General features: G+C 44.3%; 1 long non-coding RNA gene and 1 pseudogene across 1 annotated transcript, besides 3 other annotated features; both read right to left on the bottom strand.

Annotated features, from left to right (window-relative positions):
• On the bottom strand, positions 9757–10114 carry RN7SKP3 (RN7SK pseudogene 3; annotated as a pseudogene).
• LOC107984596 (uncharacterized) lies at positions 11120–22696 on the bottom strand. The gene is made up of 3 exons (XR_001749861.1): positions 22607–22696; positions 16205–16560; positions 11120–11177 (listed from the first exon to the last, which is right to left on the bottom strand). It is a non-coding gene; the product is annotated as an uncharacterized LOC107984596 (long non-coding RNA).
• Positions 14135–14429: an enhancer, noted in NCBI's record as "tiled region #4080; HepG2 Activating non-DNase unmatched - State 3:PromF, and K562 Activating DNase matched - State 3:PromF". NCBI's record gives its function as "activates a minimal TATA promoter and a strong SV40 promoter by Sharpr-MPRA in HepG2 and K562 cells {active_cell/tissue: HepG2 | K562}" and the evidence as "EXISTENCE:reporter gene assay evidence [ECO:0000049][PMID:27701403]".
• Positions 14135–15358: a biological region, named in NCBI's record as "P300/CBP strongly-dependent group 1 enhancer GRCh37_chr13:45629620-45630819".
• Positions 14159–15358: an enhancer, noted in NCBI's record as "P300/CBP strongly-dependent group 1 enhancer chr13:45629620-45630819 (GRCh37/hg19 assembly coordinates)". NCBI's record gives its function as "activates an origin of replication core promoter dependent on BRD2, BRD4, P300/CBP, MED14 and CDK7 cofactors, with strong dependence on P300/CBP, by STARR-seq in HCT116 cells {active_cell/tissue: HCT116}" and the evidence as "EXISTENCE:reporter gene assay evidence [ECO:0000049][PMID:35650434]".
• Positions 22697–22819: the final 123 nt, after the last annotated feature.

Genomic DNA, 22819 nt, shown 5'->3' with positions numbered 1-22819 from the left:
AAAAAATTAATTTCATGAAGAAATAAGGAGGGGAAGAGGGAACCTATAGATTAAAAGAGATTTAATGGTATTAAATAAATAAGTAAATAAAATAGAGTAGCTATATAACCAATTGTAATGATTTTTTAAAAATTAAAAATGTTTATGAGTCAATTCAGGAAATTTGAATATTGACTGGATATTTGATGGTTAACATCAAATATCAAAAATTGTTAATTTAAGAAGTATATTGTAATGATATTATGGTTATGTTTTTAAAAATATAATTATCTTCCTATTTTATTTTATTTTATTTTTTGAGACGGAGTCTCGCTGTGTTGCCCAGGCTGGAGTGCAGTGGCACAATCTCGGCTCACTGCAAGCTCCGCCTCCTGGGTTCACGCCATTCTGCTGCCTCAGCCTCCCGAGTAGCTGGGATACAGGCGCCCGCCACCACACCCGGCTAATTTTTTGTATTTTTAGTAGAGACGGGGTTTCACCGTGTTAGCCAGGATGGTCTCGATCTCCTGACCTTGTGTTCCGCCCGCCTCAGCCTCCCAAAGTGCTGGGATTACAGGCGTGAGCCACTGTGCCTGGCCTATCTTCCTATTTTAAAACAATTTTTCAGGCTGGGTGCCGTGGCTCATGCCTGTAATCCCAGCACTTTGGGAAGCCAAGACGGGAGGATCACCTGAGGCCAGGAGTTTGAGACCAGCCTGGCCAACATAGTGAAACCCCATCTCTACTAAAAATAGAAAAATTAGCCAGGCATGGTGGTGCATGCCTGTAATCCCAGCTATTCGGGAGGCTGAGGCAGGAGAATCATGGCAACCTGGGAGGCAGAGTTTGCAGTGATCCAAAATCATGCCATTGCACTCCAGTCTGGGCCACAGAGTGAGACTCCGTCTCAAAAAAAAAAAAAAAATTCAGACAGTCTCACTCTTGCCCAGGCTGGAGTGCAGTGGGGTGATCATGCCTCACTGTAGCCTCAAACTCCTGGGCTCAAGTGATCCTCCCACCTCAGCCTCCTGAGTAGCTGGGACCACAGGTGCATGCCACTATGCCTGGCTAATTTTTAAATTATTTGTAGAGATGGGGTCTCCCTATGTTGCCCAGGCTGGCCTTGAACTCCTGGGCTCAAGCAATTCTCTCCTGCCTTGGCTTCCTGAAGTGCTGAGATTATAGGTGTGAGCCTCTGCGCCTGGTCAGAATTATCTTTTTGAAACATTTCAGATGAAATGATGTGGGGCCTGTGATACACTTCAAAGGAACTGGGGTTGGGTAGTGGGTGGGAGTATAGATGAAGGAAGAATGGCCATGAATTAATAATTGCTGAATCTGGATGACAAGTAAGTACATAGAAATTCATTATACTATTCCCTCTGCTTTTGTACATGTTTAAAATTTTCCATAATAAGTTTTTCTTTCAAAGTTCTTCTTTATAATTATTGACTTGGAGATCTAAAAAAATTAGTGAGAAAAGAAAATTGCAAAAACCACTTATGTAAAGATTATACTAATTGCTGTAATGGTCTAGTAGTGGAGAACATCAAGTAAATATGCAATTAAAATACAATGCAATTAACTGCTATAATAGAAGTATCACAGGGTAGAATGTGTGTAGGTGAGGGTCACTCAACCCAGCCTGGAATATCAGAGAAGGAGAAGGCTTTGGAGGACGGCATGCTGCCCAGGTTGAAATAAAATACAGTCTGTTTGGCTTCCACAGTGACCGAGACCCAAGTGTACCTCCACCTACTACCAGCCTCTGTTTTAATCATTCTTTTTATGTCCTCTGAGATGCCTGTCCATTGAAAAACACAGTCTCTTAGTCTGTACCCTCTGCATCTCCCTGCCTCGAGACTTGCCTCTCTCTAGAGATACTGCCTTTCTGGTGGCCCTCCCAGAGGCTGTCCATGCTCCCATACCTGACTCTTTGTGGCTGTGGGCAGGCAGGAGATTGGCTTTGTCCTACCAGATACCATCCATCTCCTGCCTCCTCAGCACCCGGCTTCTCTTTCTCCTCTTATGTCCTCAGCCCCTTCACTACATTGGTTCTTTATTGCTCAACCGTGTTCAAGTTTCCTGCATCCTAAAAACAGGAACCCTGACTCTCCAGGGGCCACTTCTTTCCTTTAGTAACCACATCTCTCTCTCTTTACAGCCAATCTTCTTCAAAGAAGATAACTTACATGAAATGCACAAAGAAGTGAGCTCATTTCTATTCCTTCTTGAGTCAATGTTGGTAGTTTCAGTGTTTCTAGGAATCTGTCCATTTCATCTAAGTATTCTGTTATGCATATATGCCACATCTTCTTTATCCAATCATCCATTGATGGATGCTTGGGTTGATTCCATACCTTTGCTATTGTGAATCCTGCTGAGCTTGCAAATTAAATATATATATATATATATAATTATTATATATATATATTATTGGATTCTCTCTTGTTCCCAAACTTATTTGGAGAGTCACTGTCACGTACTGATGGTCAATATGCATCAAATAAGGCTGCTATTATTGACACTGCCTCTTGTCATGAAAAGCACTCCTGAGACAAGAGAGGTTTCAGGGCTATGAGCCACCTGGTCATAACAGAGCAGCACCTGCCAATTTGATCCTGTTGTAGGCACCAGGTTCGTGGGCAGGAAGTCATCATGGAAGTACATAGTGCACTTTTTGTTATACTTGGCAAGTATTCATTGACTACAGTCTTTAGCTGTTGGCGTATTTTATCTGCCCACCAAGGGAAATTTGTAATGAATGTACCCAGACTTCCAAGTAGACCCCCTTTTCTGATACTTTTACTCTAAAATACCCAAGGGAAGAAATTGTGGACTTTTCTAGATCTTGGTCCACAGCTCCTCTCTGTAAAATTTATTGAATTTTGAAACTTTCTTCCCAATTTCCTAGAGTGGTGACACCAAAGTTCCGAGTAATTACTGAAAAAAGTTGAATTTGGATTTAAGGATTTAACTTTCCTAGTCATTCTTTAGATAAGTATCACAGAAAAATCAATAAATGAAAGCTTGACAACAACGAAATTACAGTGAGGATCCTATGCGCGGTGGTGGGAGGGTGGTGATAACCAACCATCTGGAAACAAGGAGCGAGTGCCTGTGTCCCAAGTACTGACAGGAAAGGCACAAGAACAAAACATGGTTCCTGCCTTTGGATGGCCTATGATCTGGCGAAGAATGCATGTGGGCAGCAGAAGTTAGCTATCGAAGATAGCTCTCAATATACCTAACCCCAAGTGTACACACACTTTCTCCCACTTAGTAAACCAAACAATAATCTAGGCATTGCTGTGAAGAGATTTTGAAGATGTAATTAAGATCCCAAGTCAGTGGACTTTAAGATAAAGAGATTTTATCTAGATGGGCCTGACCTCATCACATGAGCTCTTTAAATCTGTGTCTAGGTCTAGAGGTCTGAGACAGGGGAAGTCAAAACTTGAAAATGTGAGAGGGGACCAGGTGTGGTGGCTCATGCCTATAATCCCAGCACTTTTGGAGGCCAAGTCGGGCGGATCACTTGAGGTCAGGAGTTCAAGACCGGCTTGGCCAACATGGCGAAACTCTGTCTCTACTAAAAACACAAAAATTAGCCGGGCGTGGTGGCATGCGCCTGTAATCCCAGCTACTCAGGAGGCTGAGGCAGGAGAATCACTTGAACCTGGGAGATGGAGGTTGCAGTGAGCCGAGATCATGCCACTGCACTCCAGCCTGGGTGACAGAGCGAGATTCCATTTCAAAAAAAAAGAAAGACAAAAGAAAATGTGAGAGGGATTTAATGTGACGAAGACTCTTCATTGAAGATGGAGGGGCCATGTGGCCAAGAACATGGGTGGCCCCTAGGAGATGAGAGTGGCCCCTGGCTAACAGCCAGAGAGGAAAGAAGGACCTCAGTTCTTCAACCTCAAAGAACTGCATCTAGCCAACAACCCAAATGAGCTTGGAAGAAGTTTTTCGTTTTTTGTTTTGTTTTGTTTTTGAGAGCTTCCAGCAAGAAATGTAGCTTGGCGAACATCTTGATATCAGCCAAATGGGACCATGAGCAGAGAACTCAACCAAATCTGCCCAGACTTCTGGCCTATAGAACTGTGGGCTCCGAAATGAGTGTTGTTCTAAGCCACTAAGTTTGTGTAATTTGCTACACAATAATAGAAAACTACTACATGCATGAAAAGATAATATTACAAGAAAGCTTTCATGTCAGACATGCTACTGTATTACAAGTGGAGCTGCCTCTATCTCTAGAGCAGGTTATATGTGCAGATAGTGTGAAGAAGTATGGAGGATTTTTTTTTTTTTTAGATTGGGTGTCTATGTTATTTTGCCCAGGCTGGACTCAACTCCTGGACTCAAGTGATCCTCTTGCTTTAGCTTCTTGAGGAGCTGGGACTAGAGGCATGCACTGCCGCACCCTCTGGAGGATATTTTTGAGAGTCTGTGTTTAGTAATTAAGAGCTCAGGCTTTGAAGTCAAATGAGCAGATTTAAACCCTGACTGCACCTCTTACAAGCTGCTTGATCATCTATAAACTACATAACATCTAGGAATATTGTGAAAGGTAAATAAAATGATGCTTACAGAAGGCTTAGGTAGTGACTGCACAATACATATAAATATATATTTTAAAAAGAAACATTTGTGGTGCAATCATGCTCACTGCAGCCTCGACCTCCTGGGCTCAAGCAATCCTCCTACCTCAGCCTCCTGAGTAGCTGGGACTACAGGTGTGTGCCACCATGCCTGGCTTTTTAATTTTTTCTTTTTTTTGTAGAGAGAATCTCATTATGTTGCCCGGGTTGGTCTCGAACTCCTGGACTCAAAGGATCCTGCCACCTCAGTCTCCGAAATTGCTGGGATTATAAGTCTGAGCTGCTGCACCCAACCATTTATTAAGTGCCAAATTATTGTTGTTTGCTAGAATTTCCACCATATGGTCTTTAGAACACTCATCGTGAAAGATAGGCTGGGCGTGGTGTTTCATGCCTGTAATCTCAGCAATATGGGAGGCCGAGGTGGGAGGAACGCTTCAGCCCATGAGTTTGAGAAGAGCCTGGGCAACGTGGTGAAACCCCATCTCCACAGAAAAATTTTAAAAAATTAGTCAGGTGTGGTGGCACACACCTGTAGTCCTATCTACTCTGGAGGCTGAGGTGGGAGGATTGCTTGGGCCTGGGATTTGAGGCTGCAGTCCGTGAGCTGTAATTGTGCCATTGCACTGTAGCATGGGCAACAGAGTTAGACCCTGTCTTGAAAGAGAGAGAGAAAGAGAGGAGGAGAGAAAGAGAGAAAGAAAGAAAAAGAAAGAAAGAAGAGAGGAAGGAAGAGGAAGGAAGGAGGAACGAAGGGAGAAAGAGAAAGAAAGAAAAAGAGAGAAAGAAAGAAAAAGAGAGACAGGGGCTAGGTGTAGTGGCTCATGCCTGTAATCCCAGCACTTTGGGAGGCCGAGGTGGGTGGATCACCTGAGGTCAGGAGTTCAAGACCAGCCTGGCCAACATGGCAAAACCCCATCTTTACTAAAAATACAAAAATTAGCTGGGTTTGGTGGCACGTGCCTGTAATCCCGGCTACTCAGGAGGCTGAGGCAGAATTGCTTGAACCTGGGTGGTGGAGGTTGCAGTGAGCCGAGATTGCGCCACTTCACTCTAGCCAGGGCGACACAGTGAGACTCCATCTAAAGAAAAAAAATAAATAAAAAGACAGTAAAATAAGGATTCTGTAATGTAACTTGTTTGAGAAACATCACATACACTTCCCCTTTCAGGTTCTGTATTCACAGTGTTCCTTAATAAATTATAGGCTCTGAGATGTCCTGCAGTACAGAAACCTGTTGAACTTTGTTTAACTCAGTTATTTAACAAACTTATTTGATCGCAGAACCCTTCTGTCTGGAAACATATATTGTCATCCAAGAGAATGATTTCTGTGGCCCTTACTTTACGAAACACAGATATGGACAATTCACTCCTTCATCCAAAAAATCCTGAGCCCCTGCTTTGCCATAAGCACTCTGCTGGGCACTGACAGCAGGAGCCAGGGTTCCTGTTTCCTCCACACTCACACATGGGCTGGGGGGCCAGGCAATGCACGGGCAGTCCTCAGACACACCGTGAAAAACTGTGATAAGCACTGTGACAGAGACGTATGGGGACAGGAGAGAATGCCATTTGGATTGAGAGAGGGTCAGGGAAGGCCTCTTTGATGAAGTGACATTTAAGCTGAAGATAGACAGAAGCCATTCAGGTAAAGAGTGGGAGAAGTGCATTGTAGGCTGAAGGACAGTGTGTGTGGTGCCTTCCAGAGTCCAAAAATAGAGCAAATGGGTGAATATTGATAATATTTATCAATATGAGAAGATTGGTGGAAAAGCAGATTTGAAGAGAAAGATCAAGAATTCAGTTTTGGACATAATTACCTTGAGATGCCCATGAGAAATTTAAAAGATGTCAGAAGGTGGCCAGGTGCAGTGGCTCACACCTGTAATCCCAGCACTTTGGGAGGCCGAGGTGGGCGGATTGCCTGAGGTCAGGAGTTCGAGATCAGCCTGGCCAACATGGTGAAACCCCGTCTCTGCTAAAACTACAAAAATTAGCCGGGCATGGTGGCTGGCACCTGTAATCCCAGCTACTCAGGAGGCTGAGGCAGGAGAATTGCTTGAACCTGGGAGGCAGAGGTTGAAGTGAATTGAGATTGCACCTCTGCACTCCAGCCTGGGCAACAAGAGTGAGACTCCGTCTCAAAATAAATAAATAAATAAATAAATAAATAAATAAATAAATAAAGTCAGAAGGCAATTGGATTTGGGAGTTTGGAGCTCAGAAAATATTAATAGATTTAGGCTAAATAGTTAAATTTTAATTTGCTGATATTTCAATTAAGAATTACTAAAATTATAGTAACTGAAAAAAATCACTAGTGGGTATTAGGAAGTTAATCACCAAATTTTATGCCTCTTCTAACCAGGGGAAAAATACCTGAGTGTGTCTTTAATTTAGTCTTTTAGATGGGGGTCTCACTGTGCTGCCCAGAATGGTATTGAACTCCTGGCCTCAAGCGATCCTCCCACATCAGCCTCCTGAGTCTCTCAGACTACAGGCATGAGCCATCTTGCTCAACTTAATTTAGTCTTATTTTCCTTAAAAAAGAACAAAGCATATTCTGGTGATTAATGCTCTTAAACCTCCTGGGAATCCCAGCTGGCAGCCATAATAGCTGTTCTAAAGCCAAAGAGGAAAAGTATTTGCTTAAAAGTGGAGTAATTAATGATGTGGGAAAATATTTTTCCTTCATTTGCTACTCAACATGGTAGATTCGTATGGCGAAAGGTGGAGTATTATGGTTCCATATGAATACTATGAGGGGAAAATATGTGAGTTGATATGCCCGTGTTGTATGAAAATGTTTAGATGTGTCACAGATATGCTGCAAAAATCAAGATGGCATCTTAAAACATCTAGAGAATTCTCAATATAGGCTAGGCACGGTGACTCATGCCTGTAATCCCAGCACTTATGGAGGCTGAGGCTGGAGAATCACTTGAGTCCAGGGGTTCGAGACCAGCCTAGGCAACAATGTGAGACCTCATCGCTACAAAAAGTACAAAAACTTATCCAGGTGTGGTTGTGTGCACCTGTGGTCCCAGCTACTTGAGAAGCTGAGGTGAGAGGATCATTTGAGCCTTGAAAGGTCGAGGCTGCAGTGAGCCGAGAAGCACCACTGCACTCCAGCCTGGGTGACAGAGCGAGATCCTGACTCAAAATAAATAAATAAAAGAATAAAATAAATAACAAATAAGAAAATTTTCCATGTAAAACTCTTAGAAAATGATAACATCCATAAGACACTTTGGGCATCTAAGAATTGAGAAACTAAGGCTATTGAAAGGGGATGTGGCTGGACAAGTTTTCCTGGTAACAAAGTAATGGTGGGAATATTTTTGGTGGGGGGAAAGGACATGAGAATGTTGGAGCTAAAAGCACTGGAGATGAGATACAACTGCTTGGACCACATCCTTCGTCAAGTTACTTCATATTCGTCCTTGAGATCTGAGCTCAAATTCAAGGAAGCCTAACCCAATCGCCTGCTGCCCCCTTTTCTCCCAAGATCGGATGCCCATTATAGGCTCTCATGAACTCCAGTCCTTCTTTCACAGAGCATAATACCATTATAATAGACTCATTAACTGCATATAGAAGTAGGGGTTTCAGTTCACCTCAGGTGAGCAAGAAATATAACTTAATTTATATTTTAAGATCCCATTCGGCCGGGCACGGTGGCTCACACCTGTAATTCCAGCACTTTGGGAGGCTGAGGCGGATCACGAAGTCAGGAGATCGAGATCATCTTGGTTAACACGGAGAAAGCTCGTCTCTACTAAAAATACAAAAAATTAGCCAGGCGTGGTGGCGGGTACCCATAGTCCCAGCTACTCGGGAGGCTGAGGCAGGAGAATGGCGTGAACCTGGGAGGCGGAGCTTGCAGTGAGCCGAGATCGCGCCACTGCACTCCAGCCTGGGAGACAGAGCCAGACTCCGTATCAAAAAAAAAAAAAAAAAAAAAAAAATCTCATTCAACCATGGTGATAGAATCATAATTTCAGTCAATTTGGGAGTCCTAAAGGGTTTTGTTTTTTGTTTTTTGTTTTTTTTTTCTGAGACAAGAGTCTCACTCTGTCGCCCAGGCTAGAGTTCAGTGACATGATCTCTGCTCACTGCAACCTCTGCCTCCCGGGTTCAAGCGATTCTCACCTCAGCCTCCCAAGTAGCGGGGATTACAGGTGCATGCCACCACAGCTGGATAACTTTTGTATTTTTAGTAGAGATGGGGTTTCACCATGTTGGCCAGGCTGGTTTTGAACTCCTGACCTCAAGGGATTTGCCCACCTCAGCCTCCCAAAGTGCTGCGATTACAGGCATGAGCCACAGCGCCCAACCCCAAAAGTTTCTATAGTTACGTAGGACTAAGCCTCTATAGTTGGAGTGAAGAGGAGAAGAGGGGAAGGTGTTGGGGGTGCCCCCCTTATCTTCAGTGTTACCTGTCTATAAAGCTGTCTGTTAAGATAATCTAAAGTCCTATATGGTTCTACTTAAGTACCTAGGCTATTGGACGCCATGGCCAGAGAGACCCTTGGAAAAGGCTTTTTGCTGCTAACACCTCCTCTAAGCAGTGAACACGGCCTCACTATTTTTTTTTTTTTTTTTTGGAGACAGGCTCTTGCTCTGTGGCATAGGCTGGAGTGCAGTGGCGTGATGTTGGCTCATTGTGACCTCTACCTCCCAGGTTCCAGCGATCCTCCCATCTCAGTCTACCTAGTAGCCAGGACCACAAGCGTATGCCACCATGCCTAGCTAATTTTTTGTATTTTTTGTAGAGACAGGGTTTCGCCATGTTGCCCAAGCTTTTTTTTTGGTAAGACATGAGAGTCTTGCTATGTGGCCCAGGCTGGTCGCAAACTCCTGGGATCAAGTGATCTTCCTGCCTTGGGCTCCCAAATTGCTGTGATTACAGGTGTGAGCCAGTGTGTCTGGCCAGCGTCACTATTTAAATGGGGAGAACACAGGGAGAGGAAGGAAATAGCTAGAGAGAAAAAACAATGGTTAATATTTTAAAAATAGTAGGTCAAATATATATTTACTCTGTCAGGGAATGTGCAGTTAAAGTTATGTGAGAAGAATAATTTGCCAGTGTTTACTGGCTTTATAAGTCTAGTGTGGAAACTTAAACCTCTTTTAAAAAAATTTAAAATACCTCTTTTTCTTTTGAGACAAGGTCTCACTGTTTCCCAGGCTGGAGTGCAGTGACACAATCATGGCTCACTCAACTTCTCTGGGCTCAGGCTCCCACCTCAGCCTCCCAAGCAGCTAATGTTTTTCCCGTATTTTTTGAGAGCTTGAATGGAGGTTCTGGTAGGGGAGTGCAGCTACTCATATACCCTTGACCGAAGACCAGTCCTCCTCTGTTGGGGATGGTCGTCCCCTTTGACTGAGCACACAGCTTCCGGAGGGACGCACATGGAGCCGTGAGGGAGGAAGGGGACACCTTCCTAGCCAGCCAGATTAGCCAAATCAACCCTGGTGATCAGTAGGGTGACAGATATTGCAGCCAGATTGCCCTTACATTCTTTTTTTTGTATTTTTTGTAGAGACTGGGCCAGCTAATTTTTTTTTTGGTATTTTTTGTAGAGATGGGGTCTCCATATGTTGCCCTGCTGGTCTCAAACTCCTGCACTCAAGCGATCCGCCCACCTCAGCCTCTCAAAGTGCTGGGATTACAGGAGTGATCCACCGTGCCTGGTCAAAAATAGCTTTAAAATATTATCCAAAAAGTGGAGACGACCCAATTGTCCATTAACAGTTGAATGGATAAATAAAATACAGTGTATGCCTACAATGGGATTTTATTCAGCCTTCTAGAGGAAAGCTATTGTGACACACAGTACAACATGAATAAACTTTGAGGACATTATGCTAAGTGACATAGCACAAAAAGACAAATACTGTGACTTCACTTGTATGCGGTACCTAGAGTGGTCAGTTTCACAGGGATAGGAAAGACTGGTGCTGACTAGCAGGTGGAGGGAGAGGGCGGTCAGTTATCGTTTAATGGGTACAGAGTTTCAGTTTTGCTAGATGAAAAGAGCTCTGTGGGTGGATGGTGGTGATGGTTGTACAACAATGTGAATGTGCTTAATACCCCTGAACTGTACATCTACAAATGATTAAGATGGTACAGTCTATGTGTATTTTACCCCAACTAAAATAATATTATCCAAAAACATGCATAACTTGTTGTTCACTATTTTTTCCTTCTACTAGGCATTCTGTGAGAATGGGATCTTGTCCGTCTTATTCCCTGGTATATGCCCCACATCTAGTACAGTGCCTAGCACATAACAATAGCTGTATAGATATTTGCCAAATGAATAAATCGTCCTAGGAGTGGGATTTGGGGGCAGAGGATGCTCCAGAAAAGCAATATCTCATATAATTAATTACCTAGGAAACTTTGGCAGGGGACTGCATAATTTGCTACTGATAATATTCAGTTACCATAGCGTTTGAGAATTTGTGAATGTATCTTTTGATTAACTACGAAAGAGAGGAAAAATAGGTATCATATTACAAACCTGTAGTTACATTGTTGATTACTTGGTCTCAGGCAGAAGAGGGCTTCTTTCTTTAAGCCTTTTAAAACAATGGGGATTTCTTTATTATATAATATTTATTGCATTTTTATATAGTAGCACAAATGTTTTACATTTTAGCCTGTAAGACTGACCTAAAATAAAACATTTCAGCCTTTTAATTTAATTATAGAAAATAGAAGCAAGAAAGGATGTAGCAGGGAAGAGGGGAAAATGAAGAATTGTAGGAAGCTAGGGAGAAAAAAAGGATAATGTGAAGGAATCAAGCCATTGCAATTGAAGACAATGTTGATTAAAATTAAACATGGCTTTTGACCCAGGAAGCTCATGCCTGGGAATCTATTCCACAGAGATGAAACCACTAGTTCACGTGGATGCTATTGCAGCATTATTTGTTGTGACAAAAAGCACAAAACAAAGCCCATGGCTGAATAATTTATGGCATATCAATATAATGAATTATTAATCAGCATCAGCCATTAAAAATAATGAAATAAATCTAAACCAATGGATTTAAATAGATGTTCATGAGGTATAGTTGAATGAGAAAAGGAAGATGCAGAAAAGTGTATATAATATGTTCTCACTTTTTTTTTTTTAATGGAGTCTCACTCCGATGCCCAGGATGGAGTGCAGTGGCACAAATTTTGCTCACTGCAACCTCCGCCTTCTGGGTTCATGCAATTCTCCTGCCTCAGCCTCCCAAGTAGCTGGGATTACAGGCATGCACCACCACACCTGGCTAATTTTTTGTACTTTTAGTAGAGACAGGGTTTCACCATGTCGGCCAGGCTGGTCTTGAACTCCTAACCTCAAGTGATTCACCCACCTCGACCTTCCAAAGTGCTGGGATTACAGGTGTGAGTCACCGTACCCAGCCACGTTCTCACTTTTATGAAGAAGAAAATGTCCAAACTCCCAATTTCTACACAAGATTTTGTAAGCATGGAGAAAAATACAGAAGTGTGCATACTTGGTTGGTGATCTGGCTTGTTGTGTGTGTTAGTGGAGCAATGGCTGCTGCTGGAGGGGAGAAAGGAGAAGAAGAGAAGGGGGAAATCAAGCAGAAAAAAAAAAGAGGAAGCATTGCGCCCAAATAGCCAATGATGTGCATCTATGTAAAATTATATGTGGCTGGGCGCGGTGGCTCACGCCTGTAATCCCAGCACTTTGGGAGGCCGAAGCAGGTGGATCACTTAAGGTCAGGAGTTTGATACCAGCCTGGCCAACATGGCAAAACCCCATCTCCACTAAAAATACAAAAATTAGCTGGGCATGGTGGTGCATGCCTGTAGTCCCAGCTACTTGGGAGGCTGAGGCAGGAGAATTGCTTGAACCCGGGAGGTGGAGGTTGCAGTGAGCCGGGTCGTGCCACTGCACTCCAGCCTGGGTGACAGAGTGAAATTCCATCTCAAAAACAAAACAAAACAAAACAAAACAAAAAACAAATAAAATTATATGTGAAACAGAAAAAAAAATAAGTTATGCAGAAAAGGCTAACTACTTGCTTCCTGATATCAGGAGGCTTCTCTTTAGCTTTGGTTTCACCAAACTTATAGCAGTGGGGTGGAACAGCCTTGAGTGATGCTGGCCTCCAAGAAAGATCAGGACTCTCCATCATGGTCAGCTTTCCTTTCTCCTGAGTGTGATGGGGCAGGGGTGAGGGCACGCTGGGAACCAAGTTACTTATTAATAATAATAGAAACAAAGGTGGTCCTGAGGACCTTATCAGAGACTCTCAGGGGTTTAAAAACATAGATGGAAATTGAGTGAGAAGGAAAAAGTATGGCAAACATACAACGTGGCTGGGTACAGTGGCTCACACCTGTAATCCCAGCACTTTGGAAGGTCGAGGTGGGTGAATCACTTGAGGTTAGGAGTTCAAGACCAGCCTGGCCGACATGGTGAAACCCTGTCTCTACTAAAAGTACAAAAAATTAGCCAGGTGTGGTGGTGCATGCCTGTAATCCCAGCTACTTGGGAGGCTGAGGCAGGAGAATTGCATGAATTGGAGGGCACCATATTCACTCTGGGATCTAGTACAGATCCAGGAAGTGAGCCCCACGTTCATCAAAGTGGTCTGCTATATGATCTGTGAAATGTTAAGATGTATTGTAACATGTATAATAGAGAAGAGGCCCATGGTGTGGAAAACATCATGTGGTGGTCATTCAGAGCTTGGATTCTGAGATCAAGTGGCTCTGGGTTCCAATCTGCATTTGCTAGATACAGGCTACTTTCATGAGACTCAGTACGGTGGCTTAAACAGGAAAGTCATGGCCAGGCATGGTGCCTCACACCTGTAATCCCAGCATTTTGGGATGCTGAGGCAGGTGGATCACTTGAGGCCAGGAGTTTGAGAGCAGCCTGGCCAACATGGCAAAACCCTATCTCTACTAAAAATACAAAACTTAGGCTGGGTGTGGTGGCTCACGCCTGTAATCCCAGCATTTTGGGAGGCTGAGGTGGGTGGATTGCCTGAGGTCAGGAGTTCGAGACCTGCCTGGCCAACATGGTAAAAACCCATCTCTACTAAAAATATGAAAAACTAGCCTGTGTGGTGGCAGGCACCTGTAATCCCAGCTACTCGGGAGGCTGAGGCAGGAGAATCACTTGTACCCAGGAGATGGAGGTTGCAGTGAGCTGAGATCGCGTCACTGCACTCCAGCCTCGGTGATGAGAAACTCCGTTTCAAAAAACAAAACAAAAAACAAAACTTAGTCTGGCATGGTGGCATGCGCCTGCAATCACAGCTACTTGGGAGGCTGAGGCAGGAGAATCGCTTGAACCTGGGAGGCAGAGGTTGCAGTGAGCCGAGATCACACCACTGCACTCTAGCCTGGGCAACAGAGACTCCGTCTCCAAACAACAATAACAACCACCACCACCACCAAACCAGGAAAGTCGTGCAGTTCTCAGGTTCACAATCCAGATAGTGAGTGGAGCTAGTCTGGTGGATTGATGGTGATGGACACCCAGGCTCCCTTTGTCCCTCTGCTGTCCTGTCCCTTATCAGTTCACCATTACATTTGCCTTCAGGCTGTTGAAGGGAGAAACAGAAAAAAGGAGGCTCCCCTCCTTTCCTTCTAAGTGCTACACTCAGAAGTTGAATGCAGTCATTGGCTAGATTCCAGTCACGAGGCCACACCTAGCTGCAAGGAAGGCTGGGAGATGGGGTTTCGGACAAGCAGCCACCCAGCCAAAACATCCATGACTGAGTAAGACAGGAGTTGGCCTTAATCCCCAAATCACACAACAATAGCCTTATAAGCCTAAGAAGGAGTGGCAGCATGAACTCTGAAAGCATGTAACAGGGAGCCCTGATCCAGCCACAGGGCTTGGGGTGAGGAGGTTTAGGGAACTGACTTTTTCCAGAGGAAATGATTTTGAGCGGAGATCTGACAGGTCACTGGATGAAGCAAAGAAGAGGGTTCCAGAAGGAGGAACACTGCACAAAGGCCCCAAAATGGGAAGGACAAGGCATGTTTGAGGAATTGAAAAAAGGCTTAATTTAAGGAGAAGCATAGATGGGGTTTCTTCCCAAGGAATGGAGCCTGGCTAGTGAAAGATATTCCAGCACGAGCACCAGCTCTCACAGATACCATTTGTTTTCTGTGGCTTGGAAACATCCCACGGTGGTTTGTCTGGCAGCCCAGAGAGAGCTGACATTGGTTTGAGAAGGTCTAATTATTCCTCGTCTAAGACTTGTGTAAATGAGTAAAGTCTTTGTGTGGGTTGCTTTAGAAGAATTTGGCAAAGTTGTGTGCCTCGTTTGTGTTATTTATAATTTTAAGAAAGCTTAGGAAACAGTTTTAGCATCTTGTCTATAATATATTGAAATGCAGTGGCTTTGAAAATCATTTGCCTTTTTGAATTAAAGGAACAGATCGGCAATTGAGTAATGGATCCACCCTGGGACGTGGGAGGTGAGAGCAAAAGTAGTTGTTGACTCATCTCCATGTATGTGTGGTAACACATGAAAATCAGTTTCATTACTTTATAGCTTCACCACCTATTAAAGCCCTGTAAAGTGTGAGTCACAGGAAACTTGAGGTACTGGAATTTGAGAGAGCCCAGTATAAAAATTCATGAAATCTTTCTGCACCACTTACTCTACTTTTAGTTATTGCAACTGGGTAATCGTTTTTTTAAATTTTAATGTGCTTCTCCTTCACTTTCCCAAGGACACAACCTGTACTTTAGCTGGCTCCAGGCGTCTGTCTGATTAGGGAACATGCACATCTGTTATGGGAGGAAAGCCGAGAGAAAGACTGGGTAATTTCGAATTTTTGGCACTCAAAACCAGGATCAGGCAGCTGGCTTTCATCTTGAAGGTGGATTTTGCACTTCAGCATCTTTATCACACTCAGAAACCGGGGCCTGGCTCAGTTTAGGAAAAGGCAGTGCAGCATAGAGAAGATACTCCTAAGGCGAGCTGCCAGAGAAGATGCAGAATGCCCAGTGAATTTTAGATAAACAATGAATAATTTGTTAGAATAAATATGTTCCAAATATTGCATGGAACATAATTACACTAAAAAATTTGCTGTTTATTTAAATATAACTGGGCATCTCGTATTTTTTTTTTTTTGATAGGGAGTCTCACTCTGTTGCCCAGGCTAGAGCGCAGTGGCGCGATCTCAGCTCACTGCAGCTTCCATCTCCTGGGTTCAAGCAATTCTCGTGCCTTAGCCTCCCAAGTAGCTGGGACCACAGGTGTGTGCCACCATGCCTGGCTAATTTTTTGTGTTTTTAGTAGAGATGGGGTTTCATCACATTGGCCAGGTTGGTCTCGAACTCCTGAGCTCAAGCAACCTGCCTGCCTTGGCCTCCCGAAGTGCTGGGATTACAGACGTGAGCCACTGTGCCTGACCTGTATTTTTATTTGTAAACCTGGCATTCCCACCCCTTAAGGCTAGGACAGCTAGATAAGTACCACTCTATCTATAGTGGGAAAATAAACCAGGAGGGAAGAGTAGAGTGTGCTAGTCATACTGACAGGCCAACCTTGAAAGCCCCTTTCTCTATTTGAGCAGAACCCATTCCCACTAGAGAATCAGAAAGTACCAGATCTTGCTTTTCCAGCTCCTTGAGCACAACTGAAGGCACAGGCCAGTCAGGGACATCTTCCCTAACCCTGATTGATGAGAAATCAGGGGTTTGGAAGAAGCAGGTGCGGTACAGAGCAGATGATGGCAGTGACCGTAGCCGCATTATTGATCCCGTGTTGTCAGTGGTGGAACTTGTGGGGTCCAGCACAGAAGTGTTTCTAAGGCTTTCTTGTGGGCAATTGTTCCTGGCTGCAGAGCCTCAGTGCCTGGCTCTGGGCCTCTCAGGTTCCTGCAAGCCATCCAATATCCTTCTGATAAATTCCTTTGCTCCTTAAGTCCAGCAGCGTCGGTTCTGTTCCTTGCACCTAAAAACTGAGTGATAAATGAAATAAAAGCCTTTTGAGGTGTGAGGAACTGTGGAGAGAACAAGAGGAGTGAGATGGGAAAACAGAGTGGGCAGAAACGTGCCTGGAGAGCAGGTAGTATACAGTAAATCAGGGGAGGATAGGGGCCTTCTTACAGGATGCCCCTGTACCATTCTGCACTCACAGAGCCACTTGGGGAGGTTGCAGCCAGTTTTGATTCATAAGGACCAGTTTCCATGCTGATTGTATGGTGCTTGTACTTTACTGGCTTTTAAGTATTTCGAATGACTCCCGGGTGCACCCATTTCATCTTGGACAGTCTCTGAGAGTTAGTTGTTTAAAGCCTCCCTTGATGCCAGTATGTTACAGATAAAATCTAGAGTTTAGCTGAGGAGATTGACATAATGGAGGAGCAGTAGTTCCACAGCAAAGAACTGTGCAGTGAACAGCACTCAAGCCAGGGTTGAATGGGAAACACAGACAGACTTGACTGTGTTAGGGGACCCAGTAAGTGTTCATAGTCCAGGCAGCACCCCTGGGCCAGGTCAAGCTAAGTTAGACTAGGATAGCCATGGAATTTCAGCCTCAAATGCCAGCCCTGCCAGGGGCACTATGAAGGAAAGAGATGCTGCCTATGTTCTTGAAGTCCCCAACTCTTTTTGGCCATCATGAGGTTATAAAAACCATAATCTTCCATGCTCCCTTAGGGAGAGAAGCAGAGGGCAAGGTGGGCATAAGACACACACATGGACATAGGTGACCTACATGGATGGCCAAATTATTGTATTAAATATTTAGTCACTTCTGTGGCCCATGCCTGTAATCTCAATACTTTGGGAGGGTGAAGTGGGAGGATCTCTTGAGGCCAGGAGTTCAAGACCAGCCTACGTCACATAATGAGACCTCTGTCTCTACAAAATTTTAAAGCTAATTAGCTGGGTGTAGTGGCACGAGCCTGTGGTCCAGCTGTTTGGGAGGCTGAGGTGGGAGGATTGATTAAGCCCAGGAGTTTGAGGCTGCAGTGAGCTATGATCAAAACACTGCACTCCATCCTAGGTGACAGAGCAAGACCCTGTCTCAAAAAAAAAAAAAAAAAAAGAAAAGAAAAAAATAGTTTACTTTCTGCACACCTGAATAATGACATGTATTAACCTTGGTGACCCTGCTTTCTCCACTTCTGAACCCACACCTTGTGCCCCAGCCATCATTCTCCAGACCCTGTACACGTTGCCTGTGGGGCTCATGAAGCCGATGTTCTCATGTGGAGTTCGGGATGGTGGCTCAGCTGCTGCTGCTTGTGACCTGGGAAAATCAATGGTTTCCAAGGTGCCTCAGCGTTGGAGCCTATGTCCTCCTTTTCATTCTGTTCCCTCGCTGTGGAACTCTCTCTTCTACACTTGAGAAAACCCATTAGCCCCTCAAGAGCCAGACCAAATGTCATGACTGAGAAATTTCTTAAGACCTGCCTTCCCTTTCTAGACAGAATTGATTGCAGCCCTCTTTCCCTGCCCTTTGCATTTGAAGGCTGTGTGGCTGTCTGCCTTGCTGGGCCAGGAGCATATAGAGGACAGAGACCACATGGTTTTCATTGTTCCACCCAGCTTCCAACATTGACCCAGCAAAGAGCTGGGCCCTGACAAATGTCAGCTGAGCTAATTGAATGAGTATCCTCCTTTGTCTTCTATTTACCTACCCAGTCTCATATTGAAATGGCCTTTAATTGTATTTGCCTTTGATCTAAATACTGGTAAGTGTTCATTCCTATCCATTTATTACAGCATTTAGTGCAATAGCTTGTGCGTCATAAGTGTGCACATGGTGGTTGATTTAATTGGATGTCTTGGTTTAATGCCTCCATTCACAGGATGTGACTTTGAAGAGACCTTAGAAATCATCTAGTACTAGCCAGGCACGGTGGCTCACGCCTGTAATCCCAGCACTTTGGGAGGCCGAGGTGGGTGGATCACCTGAGGTCAGGAGTTCGAGACCAGCCTGGCCACCATGTGAAACCCCATCTCTCCTAAAAATACAAAAATTACCTGGGTGTGGCAGCGTGCACCTGTAATCCCAGCTACTCGGGAGGCTGAGGCAGGAGAACTGCTTGAATCCGGCAGGTGGAGGTTGCAGTGAGCCGAGATCACGCCACTGCATTCCAGCCTGGGCAATAGAGTGAGACTCTGTCTCATAAAAAAAAAAAGAAGTCATCTAGTGTAACCTGGTCTGTGCATTGATGAGGTCTGTATACCAATGAGTGTACGTCACACACATGAGGATACTATCTCTACTAACTTGGTCTAAGTTACGACATGGTCAGGTCTCTGTTCAGTTACAGAGGCATTTGGTGTGTGCTTTCTGATGTTGATGGTGGTGACAATGATGGAAAGTGTTAGCTGCCAAGGCAGTTTCTCTGCTGTCTCCTTGATAACAATATTAATATCTAATGTTTAGTAAATGTCTACCGTTGTCGAGAAATTTTGTGGGGCACTGATGGGACAAAAAATACAAGGACAACAAATAAGTAGTACTTGTCCTTGAAGAACTAGTAAGTCTAAAAAGGAAAATAGATGAGTCCAACGATTATAATGCAAGCGAGAATTGTTGGATGAGAGTATGTAAAAGGCACAAGGAAAGCCAGGCCTGTGAGGGAAGGGCGGTGGCAAAGAGGAAGTAGAGAATACGGGGGAGGAGTCTGCCGGATGAACACCCTAGGGAAATGTTCCAGAAAGAAGGAATGGATGTGCCAAGTAGGGAGGTGTGAGAGACATGATTGGGGCCATTCCATCTGGCCCAGTACTGTAGCCACGGTGCTAGAAAGGCAGGGGTTAGGGAGGTGGCCAGACAACTGGTGAGGCTGGAGAGAGAGATGGGAGTCAGGTCATATGCAAAGGAATTGGTTTCATTATGTTGGCATTAGGGATCTTTTGGTTTTGTGGAATGGAGTGATATGCATATTAGAAAGATCTCACTGGTATCCTTACGGTTGAGGCTTAAGGAGAAGGGAGACTGGTGAGGTGATTTTAATATTTTAGGAGAGAAAGGATGACTAAGGCAGTAGTGGAGGGGTCAGGACAAGGAACAGAAAGCTATATATGAGGGGTCATGGGGATGCCTGTCAGAGGGATGAAGGACTGGAGAATGACTTCAGATATTGTGACTTGGGCTTCTGGGTGGATGCAGTGTTGAGTTGAGGATGGGGAGTCCACAGATCACGCAGCTGAGATAGTCAATTGCCATTTTTATCCATTGATGTGAATTCAGAATGGAGGCTTAGTTGAAGATACAGACATGATACTGACAGCGCCCAGAGAGAGGAAGAGCAGGTTAAGGGTCCAGAAGCATACCCCAAAGTAAGGAATAGGCCATGAGGGAGGAGCCAGTAAAGGAGACAGAGAAGGAAAATCCAGAGTGGAAGCACAGAAGAAGGTCAGGCCAAGGGAGGCGAAGGTTTTAAAGGGGAGAAAGTGATCAACAGAGTTAAATGCTACAGAGAGAAGTGGGACTGAGGCTTTTAAAAAGCCATTTATCAGGAACCCGGGAGGCGGAGCTTGCAGTGAGCTGAGATCGCGCCACTGCACTCCAGTCTGGGTGACAGAGCGAGACCCCATCTCAAAAAAAAAAAAAAATAAATAAATAATAAAAATAAATAAATACAAAGCCATTTATTTTAGCAACCTTGGGGGCCACCGGGAGAGCAACTGCAGTAAAGTGAGGAAACCAGACCTCAGAGGGTGCAGCACCCATGGGAGATGAAGGGGTGGAGACAAGCATAGACAACTCGAGCCAGGAACTTGACTGTGGAGAGGAGAGAGGATAACAAGCAGAGAGACTCAAGTGGTGTTGAAAATAGTAAGGTAGGGGCTGGGCGCGGTGGCTCATGCCTGTAATCCCAGCACTTTGGGAGGCCGAGGTGGGCAGATCACTTGAGGTCAGGTGTTCGAGACCAGCCTGCGCCGCACGGTGAAACCCTGTCTCTACTAAAAATACAAAAATTAGCCAGTCATGGCGGCGGGTGCCTGTAGTCCTAGCTACTTGGGGGAGGCTGAGGCATGAGAATCGCTTGAACTTGGGAAGCAGAAGTTGCAGTGAGCTGCACTCCAGCCTGAGCGACAGAGTGAGACTCTGTCTCAAAATAAATAAGTTAATAAATAAATAAATAAAATAAAATAAAATTAAAAAGTAAGGTAGGACATTTTAGCCAAGTTCAAGAATGGGGAAAAAATATATAAGGCAGGATGGGCTTGCACCTGCTGACATACTGAGAGGAAGATGCCAAGTGAGAGGAAGGATTGGGGATCAGAAACAAAGGGGTAACTGAGGGAGCAAGGAACTTGAAATTGGGGTGGGAGGATTAGAGGAAGGCTGGTTTTTTCTTCTGAAACATGGACTAGGGGCTGATGAAGATGCGGGTTAGTGCAGGCAGATGTTGGCGTTGAACAGGAGACATCTGAGGGAGTTCATTCATATCCGTTGGACTCTATTCACAGTGAACATTATCACTAGAGAAAGCCTGACTATTGAACAGTGGCTGAAAGGGCAGACTTTGCAGGCACTACTAGGGTTCAAATGCTTTTTCTGCCATTCTGTAGCTTATGACCTTGGGAAATTTCCCTAACACCTTGTGCCTCAGTTTTCTCATCTGTATGATGGAGATGACAATAATCCTCAATGGCTTGTGGTAAGAATTAAATGAGTTAAAATATGTGAAGTGCTTAGAACAGTGTCTGGTATATAATAAGCCTCATACAACAACTGCGGTTGTCATCATTGTCTCCATCATTTTCTGCTGAGACAGATGGTTGTTTGTTTGTTTGTTGTTGTTTTGAGATAGGATCTCACTCTGTCACCCAGGCTGGAGGGCAGAGGTGCAGTCTTCGCTCACTGCAACCTCCACCTCCCAGGCTCAAGTCCTCCTCCCACGTCAGCCTCCTGAGTAGCTGGGATTACAGGCACACTCAGCTAATTTTAAAATTTGTTTTGTAGATATGGGTTCTCACTAGGTCTCACCCAGGCCGTCCTCAAATTCCTAGGCTCAAGTGATCCTCCCACCTTGGCCCCCCAAAGTGCTGGGATTACACACGTGAGCCACCATGCTCGGCTGGTTTTGAATGCACTGTTGGAAGTTGTAAACATTTAGACCACCTGTTGAGTAAAATAGGAGAAAGGGCTAAGAACATGAAAGACTGCTGAGTGATATCGGGAAGTAAAGATAAAACCAGAAGATAAAACTTGGTAGCAGTTTAAAGTTTCACAGTTGAGTGAAGTTGTCACTGAATAACCTAAAGAGATTGGTTTTATTTCCTCTTTATAGATGAGGAAACTTGAGGCTTAGGAAGGTTTAATAGCTTGTCTAGGGTGACACACGGGTAAGTGGCAGGCACAGGTGATTTGACACTGCACTCTACCTTTTCACCACACTGGTGTTCAAAACACACAACAAAGCAGCTCCCCTGACAAACTGTCATCAAGGCCTTTGAACCTGTGGTTGCCAGAGGAGTGATGGGGTTGTAATGCACACAGGGAAAGAAGAAAAGAAATGGGACGGAGAGAATGGTCTGACTTTGTGAAGGACTTCTATGACATTGGAATAATGAACATTTCCTTCAAAATGAAAGAAGTCTAGTTCTCATCTCACTTACTGAAAGCACAAACCCAAATTCTGACAGATTCTGGTAAAGAAGCCTCTTGATAAATGGACCCTTTTATTCAGGATTTGCCTGGGCATTAAAGCTGCTAGGACAGACAATGTATATGAACTGGGATATATACAGATAATGTATATATCTGTATATACACCATATTATATAATGTATACGATGGGATCCAGTAGTGCCCAGCACACCAAGGTGATTACAAGGCAATTAGCGTGTGTCTGCTGAATGAATGACTGATTAAGTCATGACTCTGGAGGTGTGGTAAGAGGGTTGGGGAGAAAGATGTGGAGGATCCTTCAGAAATTAGTCTAACATAGGAAGTCCTATGAAAAGGCCTTCTGTCGAACATTTTAAAGCATTGGCAGTACCCAGAAATTACTTAAATGTCTGTAAAACACTCACCTAAACAATTGACATCACTTGACCACATTAACTAGGGCTAACAGTCCTTCTAATTGCCACATCCCCACCAGCTTCTAGATGGTAATGGCCCAGCTGGTTTCAATGGGTCTCCATGGTTACACTCATGCTCTGGTTTCCATGGTTACATTTCCAGGTCTCTCATAGGAGTTACATATATATTTGAAATTTAAAAGGATTTTTTTTCTTTCTTGT

The sequence above is a fragment of the Homo sapiens genome, chromosome 13 (genome assembly GCF_000001405.40).
Source record: "Homo sapiens chromosome 13, GRCh38.p14 Primary Assembly".
NCBI classification, from domain to species: Eukaryota; Metazoa; Chordata; class Mammalia; order Primates; family Hominidae; genus Homo; species Homo sapiens.
This window is presented reverse-complemented; position numbering and strand designations above follow the sequence as displayed.